The 13,979-nt window shown below is 55.8% G+C and overlaps 1 long non-coding RNA gene and 2 pseudogenes across 5 annotated transcripts in view, besides 6 other annotated features; 1 reads left to right on the top strand and 2 right to left on the bottom strand.

Annotated features, from left to right (window-relative positions):
• SUZ12P1 (SUZ12 pseudogene 1) overlaps positions 1–1,529 on the bottom strand; it is an 83,223-nt pseudogene extending 81,694 nt beyond the window's left edge. For all 4 annotated transcript variants that reach the window (NR_144395.1, NR_144394.1, NR_144393.1 and 1 more), the window contains exon 1: positions 1,326–1,529. The product of NR_144395.1 is annotated as an SUZ12 pseudogene 1, transcript variant 4 (transcript). The remainder of the gene's footprint in view (positions 1–1,325) is intronic.
• Positions 1,437–2,113: an enhancer, noted in NCBI's record as "H3K27ac hESC enhancer chr17:29036042-29036718 (GRCh37/hg19 assembly coordinates)". NCBI's record gives its function as "activates a minimal SCP1, AML or CMV promoter by ChIP-STARR-seq in primed H9 embryonic stem cells {active_cell/tissue: H9 hESC(primed)}" and the evidence as "EXISTENCE:reporter gene assay evidence [ECO:0000049][PMID:30033119]".
• Positions 1,437–2,233: a biological region, named in NCBI's record as "H3K27ac hESC enhancer GRCh37_chr17:29036042-29036718".
• Positions 2,014–2,233: a silencer, noted in NCBI's record as "silent region_8399". NCBI's record gives its function as "represses an Ori minimal core promoter by ATAC-STARR-seq in GM12878 lymphoblastoid cells {active_cell/tissue: GM12878}" and the evidence as "EXISTENCE:reporter gene assay evidence [ECO:0000049][PMID:35858748]".
• Positions 2,494–2,543: an enhancer, noted in NCBI's record as "active region_12000". NCBI's record gives its function as "activates an Ori minimal core promoter by ATAC-STARR-seq in GM12878 lymphoblastoid cells {active_cell/tissue: GM12878}" and the evidence as "EXISTENCE:reporter gene assay evidence [ECO:0000049][PMID:35858748]".
• Positions 5,672–13,979, bottom strand: part of LOC105371723 (uncharacterized) — a 58,422-nt gene continuing 50,114 nt past the window's right edge. The window contains exon 4 of the long non-coding RNA XR_001753096.2: positions 5,672–5,799. This is a non-coding gene — a long non-coding RNA (uncharacterized LOC105371723). The remainder of the gene's footprint in view (positions 5,800–13,979) is intronic.
• Positions 8,362–8,633, top strand: RN7SL316P (RNA, 7SL, cytoplasmic 316, pseudogene; annotated as a pseudogene).
• Positions 9,787–10,760: an enhancer, noted in NCBI's record as "OCT4-NANOG-H3K27ac hESC enhancer chr17:29027395-29028368 (GRCh37/hg19 assembly coordinates)". NCBI's record gives its function as "activates a minimal SCP1, AML or CMV promoter by ChIP-STARR-seq in naive H9 embryonic stem cells {active_cell/tissue: H9 hESC(naive)}" and the evidence as "EXISTENCE:reporter gene assay evidence [ECO:0000049][PMID:30033119]".
• Positions 10,761–11,734: an enhancer, noted in NCBI's record as "OCT4-NANOG-H3K27ac-H3K4me1 hESC enhancer chr17:29026421-29027394 (GRCh37/hg19 assembly coordinates)". NCBI's record gives its function as "activates a minimal SCP1, AML or CMV promoter by ChIP-STARR-seq in naive H9 embryonic stem cells {active_cell/tissue: H9 hESC(naive)}" and the evidence as "EXISTENCE:reporter gene assay evidence [ECO:0000049][PMID:30033119]".

The raw sequence follows: 13,979 nt of genomic DNA, 5'->3' as shown, positions 1-13,979 counted from the left end.
GCAGTGACTCCCTACCAGGATAAGGGAGCCGGGCAAGCAGAGAGGGGAAGAGAGAGAGAGAGATATAGAGAAAGACAGAGAGCGAGAGAGAGACAGCGAGAGAGAGAGCGCGAGACAGCGAGACAGCCATCTTGGCAGCCATTTTGAACCCCTCCCCCTCCTGCCCCCAGGCACACATGTTGGGATGTGGGATGTGGGAAGACAGACCCCAGCTCTGAGTCTAGTGGAAGCCAGGCGGAAGAGGGGGGCCCTGCCTGGAACTGGGATACAGAAACCCCCACGCAGCTGCCATGGCTGGGGGTGGATGGGGGTTGGAACAGGAAGAAAGGGTCCAGGCAGGTACAGTGAGGTGCTGGCCAGGGATGGGGCAGTGTGAGGACCTGGACTGGAAGTGTAGGGACAGGGGTGTGTGTAGCCAGCGGCTGTCTTCAGATGGGGGCCGGGGGTGCACTGGAGAGATACCTGGGAGGGCATTTTCTGGACACGGCTGGAGCAAACACAGCACCCCCCCACCCCACCACTTCAGGCCTGGACTCGGGTCCCAGGACCGTCAGATGGGAGGATGACAACTGAACCCTCGTAGCTCAATCCAATGCGCACCTGGGGTGGGGGTGGGGAGCTGTCCTCAAAGCACGAATAATCCGGGTGGATCAAACCTGCCGGCCTCCCGTGCTTTAACCCGGCACCACGGAGAGAAGGTGCTGCCTGGCTGCACCCCCTCTTCCTGACAGCGGCGCCCCCCGGACTGCGGCCGGCTTGACACCCAGACGGACCCCTCCCCATCCCCCGCGCCACTGCCTCCCAGAGAAAAACAACCCCCTCGCCCAGCATCCTGTGGTGCCAATCCCCGACACGGATCCTCTGGGGCCCGGGGCCGGCGCGCGGCGCGCACACGCACACGCACCCCCTCCGCTCACACCCAGACACCTACACAAACAGGGCGCCAAGGACCCGCGCGCACACGCACCGGGGACACGCAGGCACCGCGGCGCCGCTTCCCCACAAAGGCTGGCGCGCGCGCGGGCACACTCGCTGTCCCCTCCCCCCGCCAGGCACCCTGCGGTCGCCCGTCCGCACCCCCGCGCCCCGGGAGCTCCGTGGGGGCCGCCCCTCCCGGGCCCCTCGCCAGTGGGGGTGAGGTGCGGGCTGCCCCCGACGCCCCTCCCGCTCAGGTGCGGTGCCCCGCGCGGCTCCAGCGTCCCCTCCGCCCTCGCGGCCAGGACAGGCCCCGGCCTCCCATCCTTCCCGCCTCCCCTCTTCCGCGCGCCCCGCACACCTGGCCCAGGTGCGGCTTCGCCCCTCGCCCTGGGCCCGCAGACACTCACCTGTCCAGCGCCGCTCTGGGGTCGGCCCAGCGTGTCTCTCCTGCGGCTCGGCGAACCCGGGCCCCCCGCCCGGCACATCTCCCGGAGCCGGGGCTGGGGGGAAGCTGGTAGGAGGTGGCGGGGCGAGGGCGGCCTCCGTGTCCCTTCCTTCCCCTGGCCCAGCACCGCCGCCACCAACCAAAAATTAGAAAAAAAAAAAAAAAAAAAAAAAGAAAATAGAAAAAAAGAGGCGGATTACACGGATCCAAAGGCGGCCCCCTCGCGGCGGCGGAGGCTCGGGACTGGGGGCGATCGGGTCTGCGCCCCTCCCGGGGAGGGAGGCTGTGGGGCGGGGGCGGCGTCAGAGCGCCGGGGGCTGGGGCGAGGCGGAGCGCCCCGAGGCGGCGCCGGCAGCGGCCCGCATCTCCCCCGCAGCTCCGCGGCCCCAACGGAGGCGGCACGTGTGTGCCCAGGCGACTTCCCAGCCCCCTCCGACGGCGGCGGTGGACGAGGGGTTAACGGGGCAGCGGGGGCGCCCCTGCAGGCCCCCGCCGCTCGGCGGCGCCGCTCCGGGGCCCGCGCGGCCCCCTCAGCCGGGGCCTCCTCGGCAGACGGCGGGGCGGGGGCACCGCAGCGCCGACAGCTCCCGCGCCGACGGCTCGGGCTCCCCGCAGTGGCCGCGGGGAGCTCGGGTTGGGGGCGGGCGGCGCGGAGCTGGCGGAGAGGGGCGGCGCGGCCGGAGGGGGGGGCGCCAGGCCGGGCCCGTGGGCACCGCAGGACGCGCGGACCGAGCCGGAGCCGGGAACCAGCAATGACAAGCCGCCAGCTCTCCCCTCTCCCCGGCGCACCCGCTCCGGGAGGGGGGCGGTGGGCGCGCGCAAAATCCGGCCCGGAGTCGCCGCCCGGGACTGGCCGCCGCAACCCGCTTGAGCGCCCCAGGAGCCGGCCCGAAAACCCGTGCTGGAGTTTCCTTCCTTTCGCCTCCTCTCGCCTCCTCCCTGGAAAAGCAGAGAGAGGGAAAGCGACGTGCTGGACCCCCGCGTTGGAGCGGGGAGTCGGGGAAGGGAGACAGGCGTAAGGAAGACCCGGAGCGGATTTTCCAGTGAAGTAAAAGGAAAGGCGCCGAGCCCGGGGAAGGAGGGCGCAAATGGGGAGATCTGGAAGGGTTGTGCAAAACCCGAGTTGGATTAGATAAAGATGGGAGAAACGGTGTTGGAGCGGGGGGTTGGGGGGTAGATGCGACATGGCCAAACGCACCCGGGGCACGCAAATTTCGGGCCGGATTCTTTCTTGGGAGACGGAGTAATGCGTCAGGCCTAACGCAGTGAAAACAAGCAAGACCCAGCCCGGAACTCCCGGGACCTGGGTTCGCATGGGGGGAGTTCTGGAAGGGGGATGCTTAGTGGCTGAGGCGACTTGGGCTGCCCTCATCTTCCTGGCAGCGACGTGCAAGGGGGAGGGGCAAAAGGAGGGCTGGACTCGGGTACGACGGGATTCGGCGTGCTGGCTGCACCGGAGCGGACAGGTAAAAGCGGTTTCTGGATCCAGGGGCGCTGCGAAGGGAATGCGATGAGGCCGCTACCCTGGGAGACCAGACCTACAATAAAAGGCGAGGGAGGCACGCCAAGCCAGGACTGGAGCGCGGGACGGAATGAGACCCTTAGCAGAAGATCCTGGGCCACCGGGACAGGGGCTTGGAGCTGACCGGGTAGCAGGGGCGGAGGGAAGCGTTAGGGGAAGGTTTGTATCTATAAACGCCTCAAAGTCTTGCTTTTGGGGAGGGGGTGCGAGGAGAAAAATTGAATTTTATGTTCTCTGAAAGAGTAAAAACCCGGCATGGATTTTCAACACCTAACAACTCCATTGCAGCTGGTGGACTCTAAGAAGTAGGGCAAGAAGCAGGCTTGGGTTCCCAGGCATCAGACCAAGTAAGGCGAGGGGCAGGTTTCGGGTTGAGGCTGCAGAGGGAGCCCCCGCACCCCCTCTCTGGGGTGGGGAAGGCTGTTGGACCCGGCTTGGCTGTCTGGAGAGCGAAAGTTGTGACTGCCAAGACCTATAGCTGGGGCTATAAAACTGGGCCCCAAGCCAAAAATAGGCACTTCGGCAGAACAGGCAACTTTGTGCAGGGTGGGGGCTGGAGGGAAATGGAAGTCGGGGGAAGAATCCTGGCGTAGAGGGAACAGGGGGAGGGGGGAGTCCCTGAAGCGGGGCTGCTGGCTCCATTTTATGAAAGATGGGAAGACTGATGGCTGGGGAGGGCTTGGAATCCTCAGGGAAGGGAATCCATTCAAGTGAGGCCCAAATGTTAAAGCAGACAGCTCAAAGTTCAAAGTTGGGCTGCATCTTAGCAGCAGGGCAGACAAACCCTGATCTGAGTTTTAGAGGAGGGGGACGGGCTGAGGATGGGGATGGGGGAAACCCCCATTCCCTACATGTCCAGGGAAGAGAGTGCATTGCTAACCAGGCGCTTTGCAGAATGAATGAGGAAAGGGAAAAGGGTTCCTGAGTAGGAGTGGTAAATCCACAAAACTTGAGGCATATCTGGATGGGAAAAATGAGTATCTAAGAAAGCCTGAATTGATAGGCTGCACGGGAATTAACTTGGCCTCTAAGAATCCCTTCCTAGAAGCACGTCGCTGTGGCTAAACTGGAGGAAGGGCAGGGACACCAGACTTCCAGGCTGCCCAGGTGACCACGCACCACAGCTGTGGCAGCCTGTCACCCTCCACCGCCTTCTATGGACAGCTGTCTTTTCATGACTGGGAAGGGATTCTTGAAAGCCAGAACCTAGGCAAATCTGGCCCCAGAGAACTTCAAAATGGAGGGATGGGTCACTTTCGTTCCTCCTTCATGCCCAGGATTTCATGGCTGCAGAGCTGTCCAGCCTTGAATCTGGGTGGCCAGGCTGGACACCTGGATCTGGGGGACCAAAGGGGTATAAAGTAGGAGTTGGTGAGTGCAAAACAGATCCCATCCATCTGTGGTTGACTGCAGACCCACTGGGTATGGAGGAGGGCATCCCATCTCTCTACGCCTCAATTTCCCAGTTTGAGATACTGACAGTAGCAAGTAAGACCCATGAAGGCTTTGAGATGGAGGGCACTCCAGGCAGCCAGCTTTCTATAAACCTAGCAGTACCGAAAAGGGAACAGAACTTGACGCTCAGGAAAAGCTTGTCACCTCCTTGTTCTCTTGCTCCAGGCCTTTGTCCCCACCCCACCCTCCAGCCCTGAGCAGCCCACCCACTTCCCCCTACAGAGCTAGCCTAGGAGGTGGTTCTAACTTGCACTCTCCAGAGGCTACGAGAAGGAGTGGCCTTTACTTATATGAGGGAAAGCAACGACATTCTTTAAGGCACCCTCAGCTCAGTTTGGAAAACCCCAGCCAGAACCCCCTCACCCTCGCCCCTCACCCCTTTCTAGACCCTCTAAACCCCACTGGTCCCAGCTGGGATCGGCTCTCCAGCCTCCATCTGATCCATGTCTCCTGGACTTGTGAGCGGCGTGCTCAGGAGACAAAGGGTGCGGAGAGGCTGGGGGCCGCGTAAAGAGCCCTGGCGCACCTCAGACCTTCGGCTTCGCAGCCGCAGTGGAGGCCGCGCCAGCAACTGGGCTCCGGGAACCAAGGCGTCCGCGCGCGCACGCAGACTCGCCCGCGCGCCGCGTGCCCCGCGCTGCCCAGATCGGTACCCGCGCTTCGGACACCCTGCTCCCAGGGCGCTCCTCGCTTCCAGCCTCCCACCTTGCGCCTTGGGATTCCCATGAGCCCCGCGCCTGAGACACCCCACGCTCTGTGTATTCCGTCCCACGGGACCTCCACGCCCACGGTGCCACGCGCCTCGAGTACCCCATGTTCTATGAACCCTGCACCTGGACGCCCCATCTTCTGTGCACCCTGTGCTATAGAACCCGCACGCCCAGGGTGCCCTATGCCTAGGGCACCCTGTGTTCTCCTGCGTATCTGGGACCCCACATTTTGTACGCCTAGCACCTCCAGCATCCCAGCGTCAGACACAGCTGGGCTCGCCTATGCCTTGTCTGTCCCCTCTCTGTGCCTTCCATGTATTGCGCCCACTGCCTCGGTTGGGCCCCCAACCTCACAGTCCTGAAGGCTCTGCTTCGCCCCAGTGCTCAGCTTCCCTTTGCCTCAGGCCCAGCGCCCTCGTTCCCGGGTGCCCTGCCTCAGGCTCCTGGACAGGTCAGCGCAACGCCAGACAGCCACTGCCCACCAGGCGCCCCCAGCCCGTGTTTTCCTAGAGCCCACTCGGTATAGGATGCACAACCCTGCTGTTCATTTCACTGCTCCGTGCACGTATTCATTCCTTCCATTTACGCCTCAAACACACAGCACGCACCTTATATGCCCTTACCTGTCAGGTGCAGTGTGATGCATTGAGGATGTGCCTCCAGTGCACAGGGAACAAGGCAGGGAGCCTTCTCTGGGCGCTTCCTTCGTCATGGAGAAGATGGACACAGAATGTGTGATGGAATGAGCCCTGGAAAGTCAGCAGGTGCCAGGGAGTGGAGGATGGACCTATCCAAGCCTTGAGGTGTGGGTGAAGTTTTGTGTGTCCCTGGCCTTTCCAGAGGCTCCCTGTACCCCCATCTTAGGCAACTTCTTTTATTTATTTATTTATATTTTTATTTATTTATTTATTTTGAGGAGTCTCGCTCTGTTGCCCAGGCTGGAGTGCAGTGGCACGATCTCTGCTCACTGCAACCTCCCTCTCCCGGGTTCAAGTGATTTCCGGCTAAGTTTCATATTTTTAGTAGGGACAGGGTTTCACCATGTTGGCTAGGCTGGTCTCGAACTCCTGACCTCAAGTGATCCGCCCACCTCGGCCTCCCAAAATGTTAGGACTACAGGCGTGAGCTACCGCGCCACACTATTTATTTATTTTTGGAGACAGGGTCTCTTTCTGTCGCCCAGGTTGGAGTGCAGTGATGAAATCATAGCTCACTGCAGCTCACTGCACGAGCCACCACACCCAGCTAATTTTTGTATTTTTTTTTTTCATAGCTTGCTATGTTGCCCAGACTGGTCTCAAACTCCCGGACTCAAATGATCCTCCTTCCTAAGTCTCCCAAAGGGCTGGGATTACAGGTGTGAGCCGTGGTGGCAGGCCAACCTTGGGCGATTTCTGAGCTCCATTCAGTTCCACCCCCACTGCCAAGCCAAGTGGAGGGCAAGATGAAGAGGTCCCAGAATTGGGCTAGGAGGATAGGTTGGGGGCAGGGAGTAATTCCAACTGTGTTCTTTTATTTTATTTTATTTTATTTTATTTTTATTTTTTTTTTTTGAGATGGAGTCTCACTCTGTGTCATCCAGGCTGGAGTGCAGTAGCATGATCTCGACTCAGTGCAACCTCTGCCTCCCAGATTCAATTGATTCTCCTACTTCAGCCTCCCAAGTAGCTGGGATTACAGGAATGCGCCTCCATGCCAGGCTAATTTTTGATTTTTTTTTTTTTTTTCAGTAGAAACAGGGTTTCACCATGTTGGCCAGGCCGGTCTTGAACTCCTGACCTCAAATGATCTGCCCGCCTCAGCCTCCCAAAGTGCTGGGATTACAGAAATGAGCCACTGCACCCAGCCAGGTTTTTTTGTTGTTTGTTTTTTGTTTTGTTTTGTTTGAGACGCAGTTTCACTCTTGTTGCCCAGGCTGGAGTGCAATGGTGTGATCTCAGCTTACCACAACCTCCACCTCCCGGGTTCAAGCCATTATCCTGCCTCAGCCTCCGGAGTAGCTGGGATTACAGGCACACACCACCACGCCCAGCTAATTTTGTATTTTTAGTAGAGACGGGGTTTCTCCGTGTTGGTCAGGCTGGTCTTGAACTCCCATCCTCAGATGATCTGCCCACCTCAGTCTCCCAAAGTGCTGGGATTACAGGCGTGAGCCACCGCGCCCGTCCTCAGGGGGTATATTTTGAAGGTGGAGCAGATGGATTGGAAGTGGGATACGAGGGAAAGAGGTAAGTCAAAATTTGTGAGCTGAGTGAGCCCCTGGAAGGATGGAGAGGATGGAGAGGGGGCAGTTTTGTAGGTTAGATCCAAGCCTTTGGTTTGATATGTCCAAGTGGAGGCATGAAGTTGGTGCCCGGGGAGAGGTTCAGGCTGGCCGAGAAATGGCTCAAATGAGCACGAATGCTCTCATTTATACTTTATGGTAACTCTGTGGGTGGGGGACTTTCTCCCCATCTTACAGAAGGGGCAACGAAGGCTCCAGAACATGCCCAAGTAGTTAAAAAATGTAGTTATAGGCCGGGTGCAGTGGCTCACGTCTGTAATCCCATTACTTTGGGAGGCCGAGGTGGGCAGATCACCAGAGGTTGGGAGTTCGAGACCAGCCTGACAAACATGGAGAAACCCTGTCTGTACTAAAAATACAAAATTAGCCAGGCATGGTGGCGCGTGCCTGTAATCCCAGCTACTTGGGAGGCTGAGGCAGGAGAATCACTTGAATCCGGGAGCTGGAGGTTGTGGTGAGCCAAGATCGCACCACTGCAATCCAGCCTGGAGACAGAGCAAGACTCCGTCTAAAAAAAAAAAAGTTAGGTTCCGAGCCGGGTCCCGGATTTGGGCTGGGAGGATAGGGTGGGGAAGGGGAATAATTCCAACTGTGGTCTTTTTCTTTTCTCACTCTGTTGTCCAGGCTGGAGTGTAATGGCTCAATCTCAGCTCACTGCAACCTGTTTCCTATGTTCAAGCAAGTCTCCTGCCTCAGCCTCCTGAGTAGCTGGGACAACAGGCGTATGCCACCATGCCTGGCTAATTTTGTATTTTTGTAGAGACAGAGTTCCACAATGTTGCCCAGGCTGTTCTCAAACTCCCAGGCTCAAGCGATCCTCCCGCCTCGGTCTCCCAAAATGCTGGCATTACAGGTGTGAGCCACTGCGCCTAGCTAGGCAGGACTATTTGAAAGGCACCAGGGCTAGGCTAGCATGGTGGGAGGCCAGGAGAGGGTCTAGATTATATTCCCAGTGATACTAGGAACCCCAAGAGGGCTTTCAGAAGTGGGTGGCATGATCTTATTTGGATGTTTAAAAGATTATAGGGCTGGGCTTGGTGGTGTGATCCTGTATCCTAGCTGAGGCAGGAGGATTCACGCACACAGGCTTGATCCTAGGACTTCCGGGAGGTGGTGTGTGCCATGACCATCAACGTCAATGTGGTGACCCCCCAAGAGCAGGGGACCACCAGGTTGCCTAAGGAAGAGTCAACTGGCCCAGGTTGGAAACACAGCAGGTTAAAACTCCTGTGTTGATCAGTAGTGGAATCACGTCTGTGAATAGCCACTGCACTCCAGCCTGGGCAACAGGGTGAGAAAAGAAAAAGACCACAGTTGGAATTATTCCCCGCCCCCAACCTATCCTCTCTAAAACCCCCCAACCCTGTCTCTAAAACAAAATGTTAAAATAAGAATAAATAAAATAGGCCAGGCACGGTGGCTCACACCTGTAATCCCAGCACTTTGGGAGGCCGAGGCGGGTGGATCACGAGGTCAGGAGATCGAAACCATCCTGGCTAACACAGTGAAACCCCGTCTCTACTAAAAATACAAAAAATTAGCCGGGCGTGGTGGTGGGCACCTGTAGTCCCAGCTACTCGGGAGGCTGAGGCAGGAGAATAGTGTGAACCGAGGAGGCGGAGCTTGCAGTGAGCCAAGATCATGTCACTGCACTCCAGCCTGGGCAACAGAGCCAGACTCTGTCTCAAAAAAACAAATAAATAAAAATAAATAAATAAATAAATAAAATAAAAGATTATATGAGTGCTCCCTCAATAACTATAACACAGAATTACTATATGAGGCAGGGCACGGTGTCTCACGCCTGTAATCCCAGCACTTTGGGAGGCCAAGATGGGAGGTTCGTTTCAGTCCAGGAGTTCAAGACCAGCTTGGGCAACATAGTGAGACACGGTTTCTACAAAATATACAAACATTACCTGGGCAGGGTGGCTTGCACCTATAGTCCCAGCTACTCAGGATCGGGGGCTGAAATGGGAGGATCATTTGAGCCTGGGAGGTCGAGGCTGCAGTGAGCTATGATTGCACCACTGCACTCCAGCCTGGGCGGCAGAGCAAGACCCTGTCTCAAAAAAAAAAAAAATGCTGTATGATTCAGCAATTTCTCTCCTAAGTATAACCGAAAGAATTGAAAACAGCCTCCTAAACAGATACTTGTATGTAGATGTTCCTAGCAGCACTACTCACCATAGTAAAAACGTGAAAACAATCCAAATGTTTATCAGTAGATGAACAGATAAACAAAATGTATATTCATACAATGGAATATTTTCCAACCATTAAAAGGAAAGATGTCCTGGTACACACTACAACAGGGATGAAACTTGAAAACACCATGCTCAAAAGAAGCCAGGCACAAAAGTTCCCATAGTGTACCATTATATGTTCTATTTATATGAAATTTATATGAAATGTCCAGAACAGGCAAATCCAGAGAGACAGAAAGCGGATGAGGGGTGGCCCAGGGCTGGGGGAGGAGGGAATGGGGAGTGACTGCTAACGGGTGTGAGTTTTCTTAAGGGGATGATGAAAAATGTCTTGGAACTAGACATGATGAATGTACTATGACATGACATGACATCGTCCACCTTAAAATGGTTGGTGGTTAATTTTTTGTTGTGGGAATTTTAGCTCAATTAAAAATGGTGGCCGGCAGTCACGGTGGCTCACGCCTGTAATCCCAGTACTTTGGGAGGCCGAGGCGGGTGGATCACAAGGTCAGGAGTTCAAGACCAGCCTGGCCAAGATGCTGAAACACCGTCTCCACTAAAACTACAAAAATCAGCCGGGCGTGTGTGGGGAAAAGCAAGAGAGATCAGATTGTTACTGTGTCTGTGTAGAAAGAAGTAGACATAGGAGACTCCATTTTGTTATGTACTAAGAAAAATTCTTCTGCCTTGAGATTCTGTTAATCTATAACCTTACCCCCAACCCCGTGCTCTCTGAAACGTGTGCTGTGTCAACTCAGAGTTAAATGGATTAAGGGCGGTGCAAGATGTGCTTTGTTAAACAGATGCTTGAAGGCAGCATGCTCCTTAAGAGTCATCACCACTCCCTAATCTCAAGTACCCAGGGACACAAAAACTGCGGAAGGCCGCAGGGACCTCTGCCTAGGAAAGCCAGGTATTGTCCAAGGTTTCTCCCCATGTGATAGTCTGAAATATGGCCTCGTGGGAAGGGAAAGACCTGACCGTCCCCCAGCCCGACACCCGTAAAGGGTCTGTGCTGAGGAGGATTAGTAAAAGAGGAAGGAATGCCTCTTGCAGTCGAGACAAGAGGAAGGCATCTGTCTCCTGCCTGTCCCTGGGCAATGGAATGTCTCGGTATAAAACCCGATTGTATGCTCCATCTACTGAGATAGGGAAAAACCGCCTTAGGGCTGGAGGTGGGACCTGCGGGCAGCAATACTACTTTGTAAAGCATTGAGATGTTTATGTGTATGCATATCTAAAAGCACAGCACTTAATCCTTTACATTGTCTATGATGCAAAGACCTTTGTTCACGTGTTTGTCTGCTGACCCTCTCCCCACAATTGTCTTGTGACCCTGACACATCCCCCTCTTCGAGAAACACCCACAAATGATGAATAAATACTAAGGGAACTCAGAGGCTGGCGGGATCCTCCATATGCTGAACGCTGGTTCCCCGGGTCCCCTTATTTCTTTCTCTATACTTTGTCTCTGTGTCTTTTTCTTTTCCAAATCTCTCGTCCCACCTTACGAGAAACACCCACAGGTGTGGAGGGGCAACCCACCCCTACAGCGTGGTGGCGGGCGCCTGCAATCCCAGCTACTCGGGAGGCTGAGGCAGGAGAATCGCTTGAACCCAGGAAGCAGAGGTTGCAGTGACCCAAGATTGTGCCACTGCACTCCAAACTGGGCAACAGAGTGAGACTGCCTCAAAAAAAAAAAAAATGCTAGGGGCCGGGGCACGGTGTCTTACACCTGTAATCCTGGCACTTTGGGAGATAGAGGCTGGCAAATCATTTGAGGCCAGGAGTTTGAGACCAGCCTGGCCAACACGGAGAAACCCCATCTCTACTAAAAATACAAAAAAAGCCGGGCGTGGTGGCACGTGCCCATAGTCCCAGGTACTCCAGAGGCTGAGGCAGGAGAATCACTTGAACCCAGGGGCAGAGGTTGCAGTGAGCTGAGATCGCACCACTGCAGTCCAGCCTGGGCAATAGAGTGAGATGCCAAAAAAAAAAAAAAAAAAAAGGAAGGAAGGAAGATAAGAAGGAAGGGAGGAAGGAAGGAAAGAAAATGATAGGAATGCTGGTGTGCTCCTGTAATCCCAGTTACCTGGGAGGCTGAAGTGGGAGGATCACTTGAGCCTGGGAGTTAGAGACTGCAGTGAGCTATGACTGCAACACTGCACTCCAGCCTGGGTGACCGAGCGATACTCCTATCTCTTAAAAAATATATATTATTTATAGATTATTATTATTTTTTAATTATACAGGTCAGCCGGGCGCAGTGACTCATGCCTGTAATCCTAGCACTTTGGGAGGTCAAGGCGGGAGGATCGCTTGAGCCCAGGAGTTCGAGACCAGCCTGGGCAGCATAGCGAGACCTGGTCTCTAAATAAATAAATTATATAGTCAATTTGAGAGGGACCCAGGAGATTCGTGAGGTGATCACCACTGTCATGCAGGTGAGAGGCAGGTGATGGAGGCCCAGAACGGGATGCTGGGGGAAAACGTTAGGTTTTCGGCATGTCTTAGGGGCAGAGTCAACAGGACCCCTTACTTTGCACCCTCCTTGAACTCTGCTTATATGTTACCTCCTGACCACTCTATTGAAAATGCAAAACACAGGACCGGGCGCGGTGGCTCACGCCTGTAATCCCAGCACTTTGGGAGGCCGAGGCGGGCAGACCACGAGGTCAGGAGCTCGAGACCATCCTGGCTAACACGGTGAAACCCCGTCTCTACTAAAAATACAAAAAATTAGCCAGGCGTGGTGGTGGGCGCCTGTAGTCCCAGCTACTAGGGAGGCTGAGGCAGGAGAATGGCGTGAACCCGGGAGGTGGAGCTTGCAGTGAGCAGAGATCATGCCACTGCACTCCAGCCTGAGCGACAGAGCGAGACTCCGTCACAAAAAAAAAGAAAAAAGAAAAAAGAAAAGAAAATGCAAAACACAAAAATTAGCTGGGTGTGGTGGCACATGCCTGTAATCCCGGCTACTTAGGAGGCTGAGGCACAAGAGTCGCTCTAACCCGGGAGGTGGAGGTTGCAGTGAGCCGAGATCACACCTCTGCACTCCAGCCTGGGCGACAGAGCAAGACTCTGTCTCAAAAAAAAGAAAAAAGAAAACTGCAAACACCCCCACCCTCCTCACTCCCTTGATCTCCTCTCCCCTTTATCTCTCTCCAGTCCCAGAGACTGGGGGGGGGGGGGTCTCACTATGTTGTCCAGGCTGGTCTCGAACTCCTAGTCCCCACAGCATATCCTGACCTAGTTTCGTTTTCATTCATTTATCTATCTCCCTCACTAGAATACCAACTCCCCAGTCCAGGGATGTTTGTTTCTTGTTCACTGCTGTCTACCCGGAGCCTAGGACAGATCCTGGCACACAGTAGGCGCTCAGGAGAAAGCGGGGGAGTGGAGGAAAGCGAGAATCCCGGAAGCCGCCGGGTTCCAGCCTGAGCAGCAGGCGGGCGTTTAAGTGGAGGCGGATTCCTAGTTAGGCACCAGCTGGAAGGGGAGCCCGGCTGGGCTGCGCTTCCTTCCCCGGCCGCTAGGGGCCGTTTCCCCGCTGCTCTGCGGCCGCCAGGTGAGGGGGCCCCGCCTCTTCTTCCCAGGTGCTCAGGAGGGGCAGCCCGGGGAAGGGAGGGGGGTGAAGAGCGCAGAGCTGGGGGAGTTGGGGTGTGAGGGGACAAAGTGGGGGTGAAGGGAGAGAGCTGAGCGTGTTTGAGATGGGGACTGCTTAAAGGAAGGGAAAAATGCGTAGGGAGGTTGGGAGGTGTGAGAAGGTGAGGAGACAGCCCGGTGTTAGGGAGAGAGGAGCGGAGGGTTGAGGGAGGTGCGGGAAGATGGGTGATAAACTGGGGAGTCCGGGAAAGTCTGGCAGGCGGAAGGCCTTGCCCTGGTGGCTCCACTGGAGGAAATTTGGACCATGCATGGAAAAGACCGGGACGATTGAGGGGTGGGATTGGCCTGTGGGGTTGAGGATCCCAGGGAAGAAGCCCTAAGCTTTGCTGGACTTGGACTTGGCCAGTGTGTTCTGGGGAGGAAGAGGGATTTCTCAGACCCAGATCCCTCGGACCAGCAACGGGGAGGGACTCCCCCTTTGAGGAGTGCGATGTGCCTGGCAAGTTCACCAGCTAGCTTCTGCAGAACGTGTGGCCAGTAAGTGGCTTATTCAACCTGGCACTGACTCTGCCTCTCTCTCCTTCAAGCCTCAGGGCCAGGATTCATTGTGTAATGAATTGAGTGGTAAAACAGCAATGAATGAGACAGATCCAGTCCCGGCACTGGCCAGTCCCGGCACAAAGAAGGCTTCCCAGCCCTGGGGAAGTGACAGGTAAACTGAGGCAGGGACCTGCTGGCTTTAAATAGCAGTCCCCCTCATGGTGATCTGGGCAGAGACGACCACTCATATGGAGGCTCTGAGGCTGTTACCAAGAAAAAAGCCGGCAGTATC

Source organism: Homo sapiens, chromosome 17, assembly GCF_000001405.40.
Source record: "Homo sapiens chromosome 17, GRCh38.p14 Primary Assembly".
NCBI classification, from domain to species: domain Eukaryota; kingdom Metazoa; phylum Chordata; class Mammalia; order Primates; family Hominidae; genus Homo; species Homo sapiens.
Note: the sequence above shows the minus strand (reverse complement) of the source record. Positions and strands in the feature narration are given on the sequence as shown.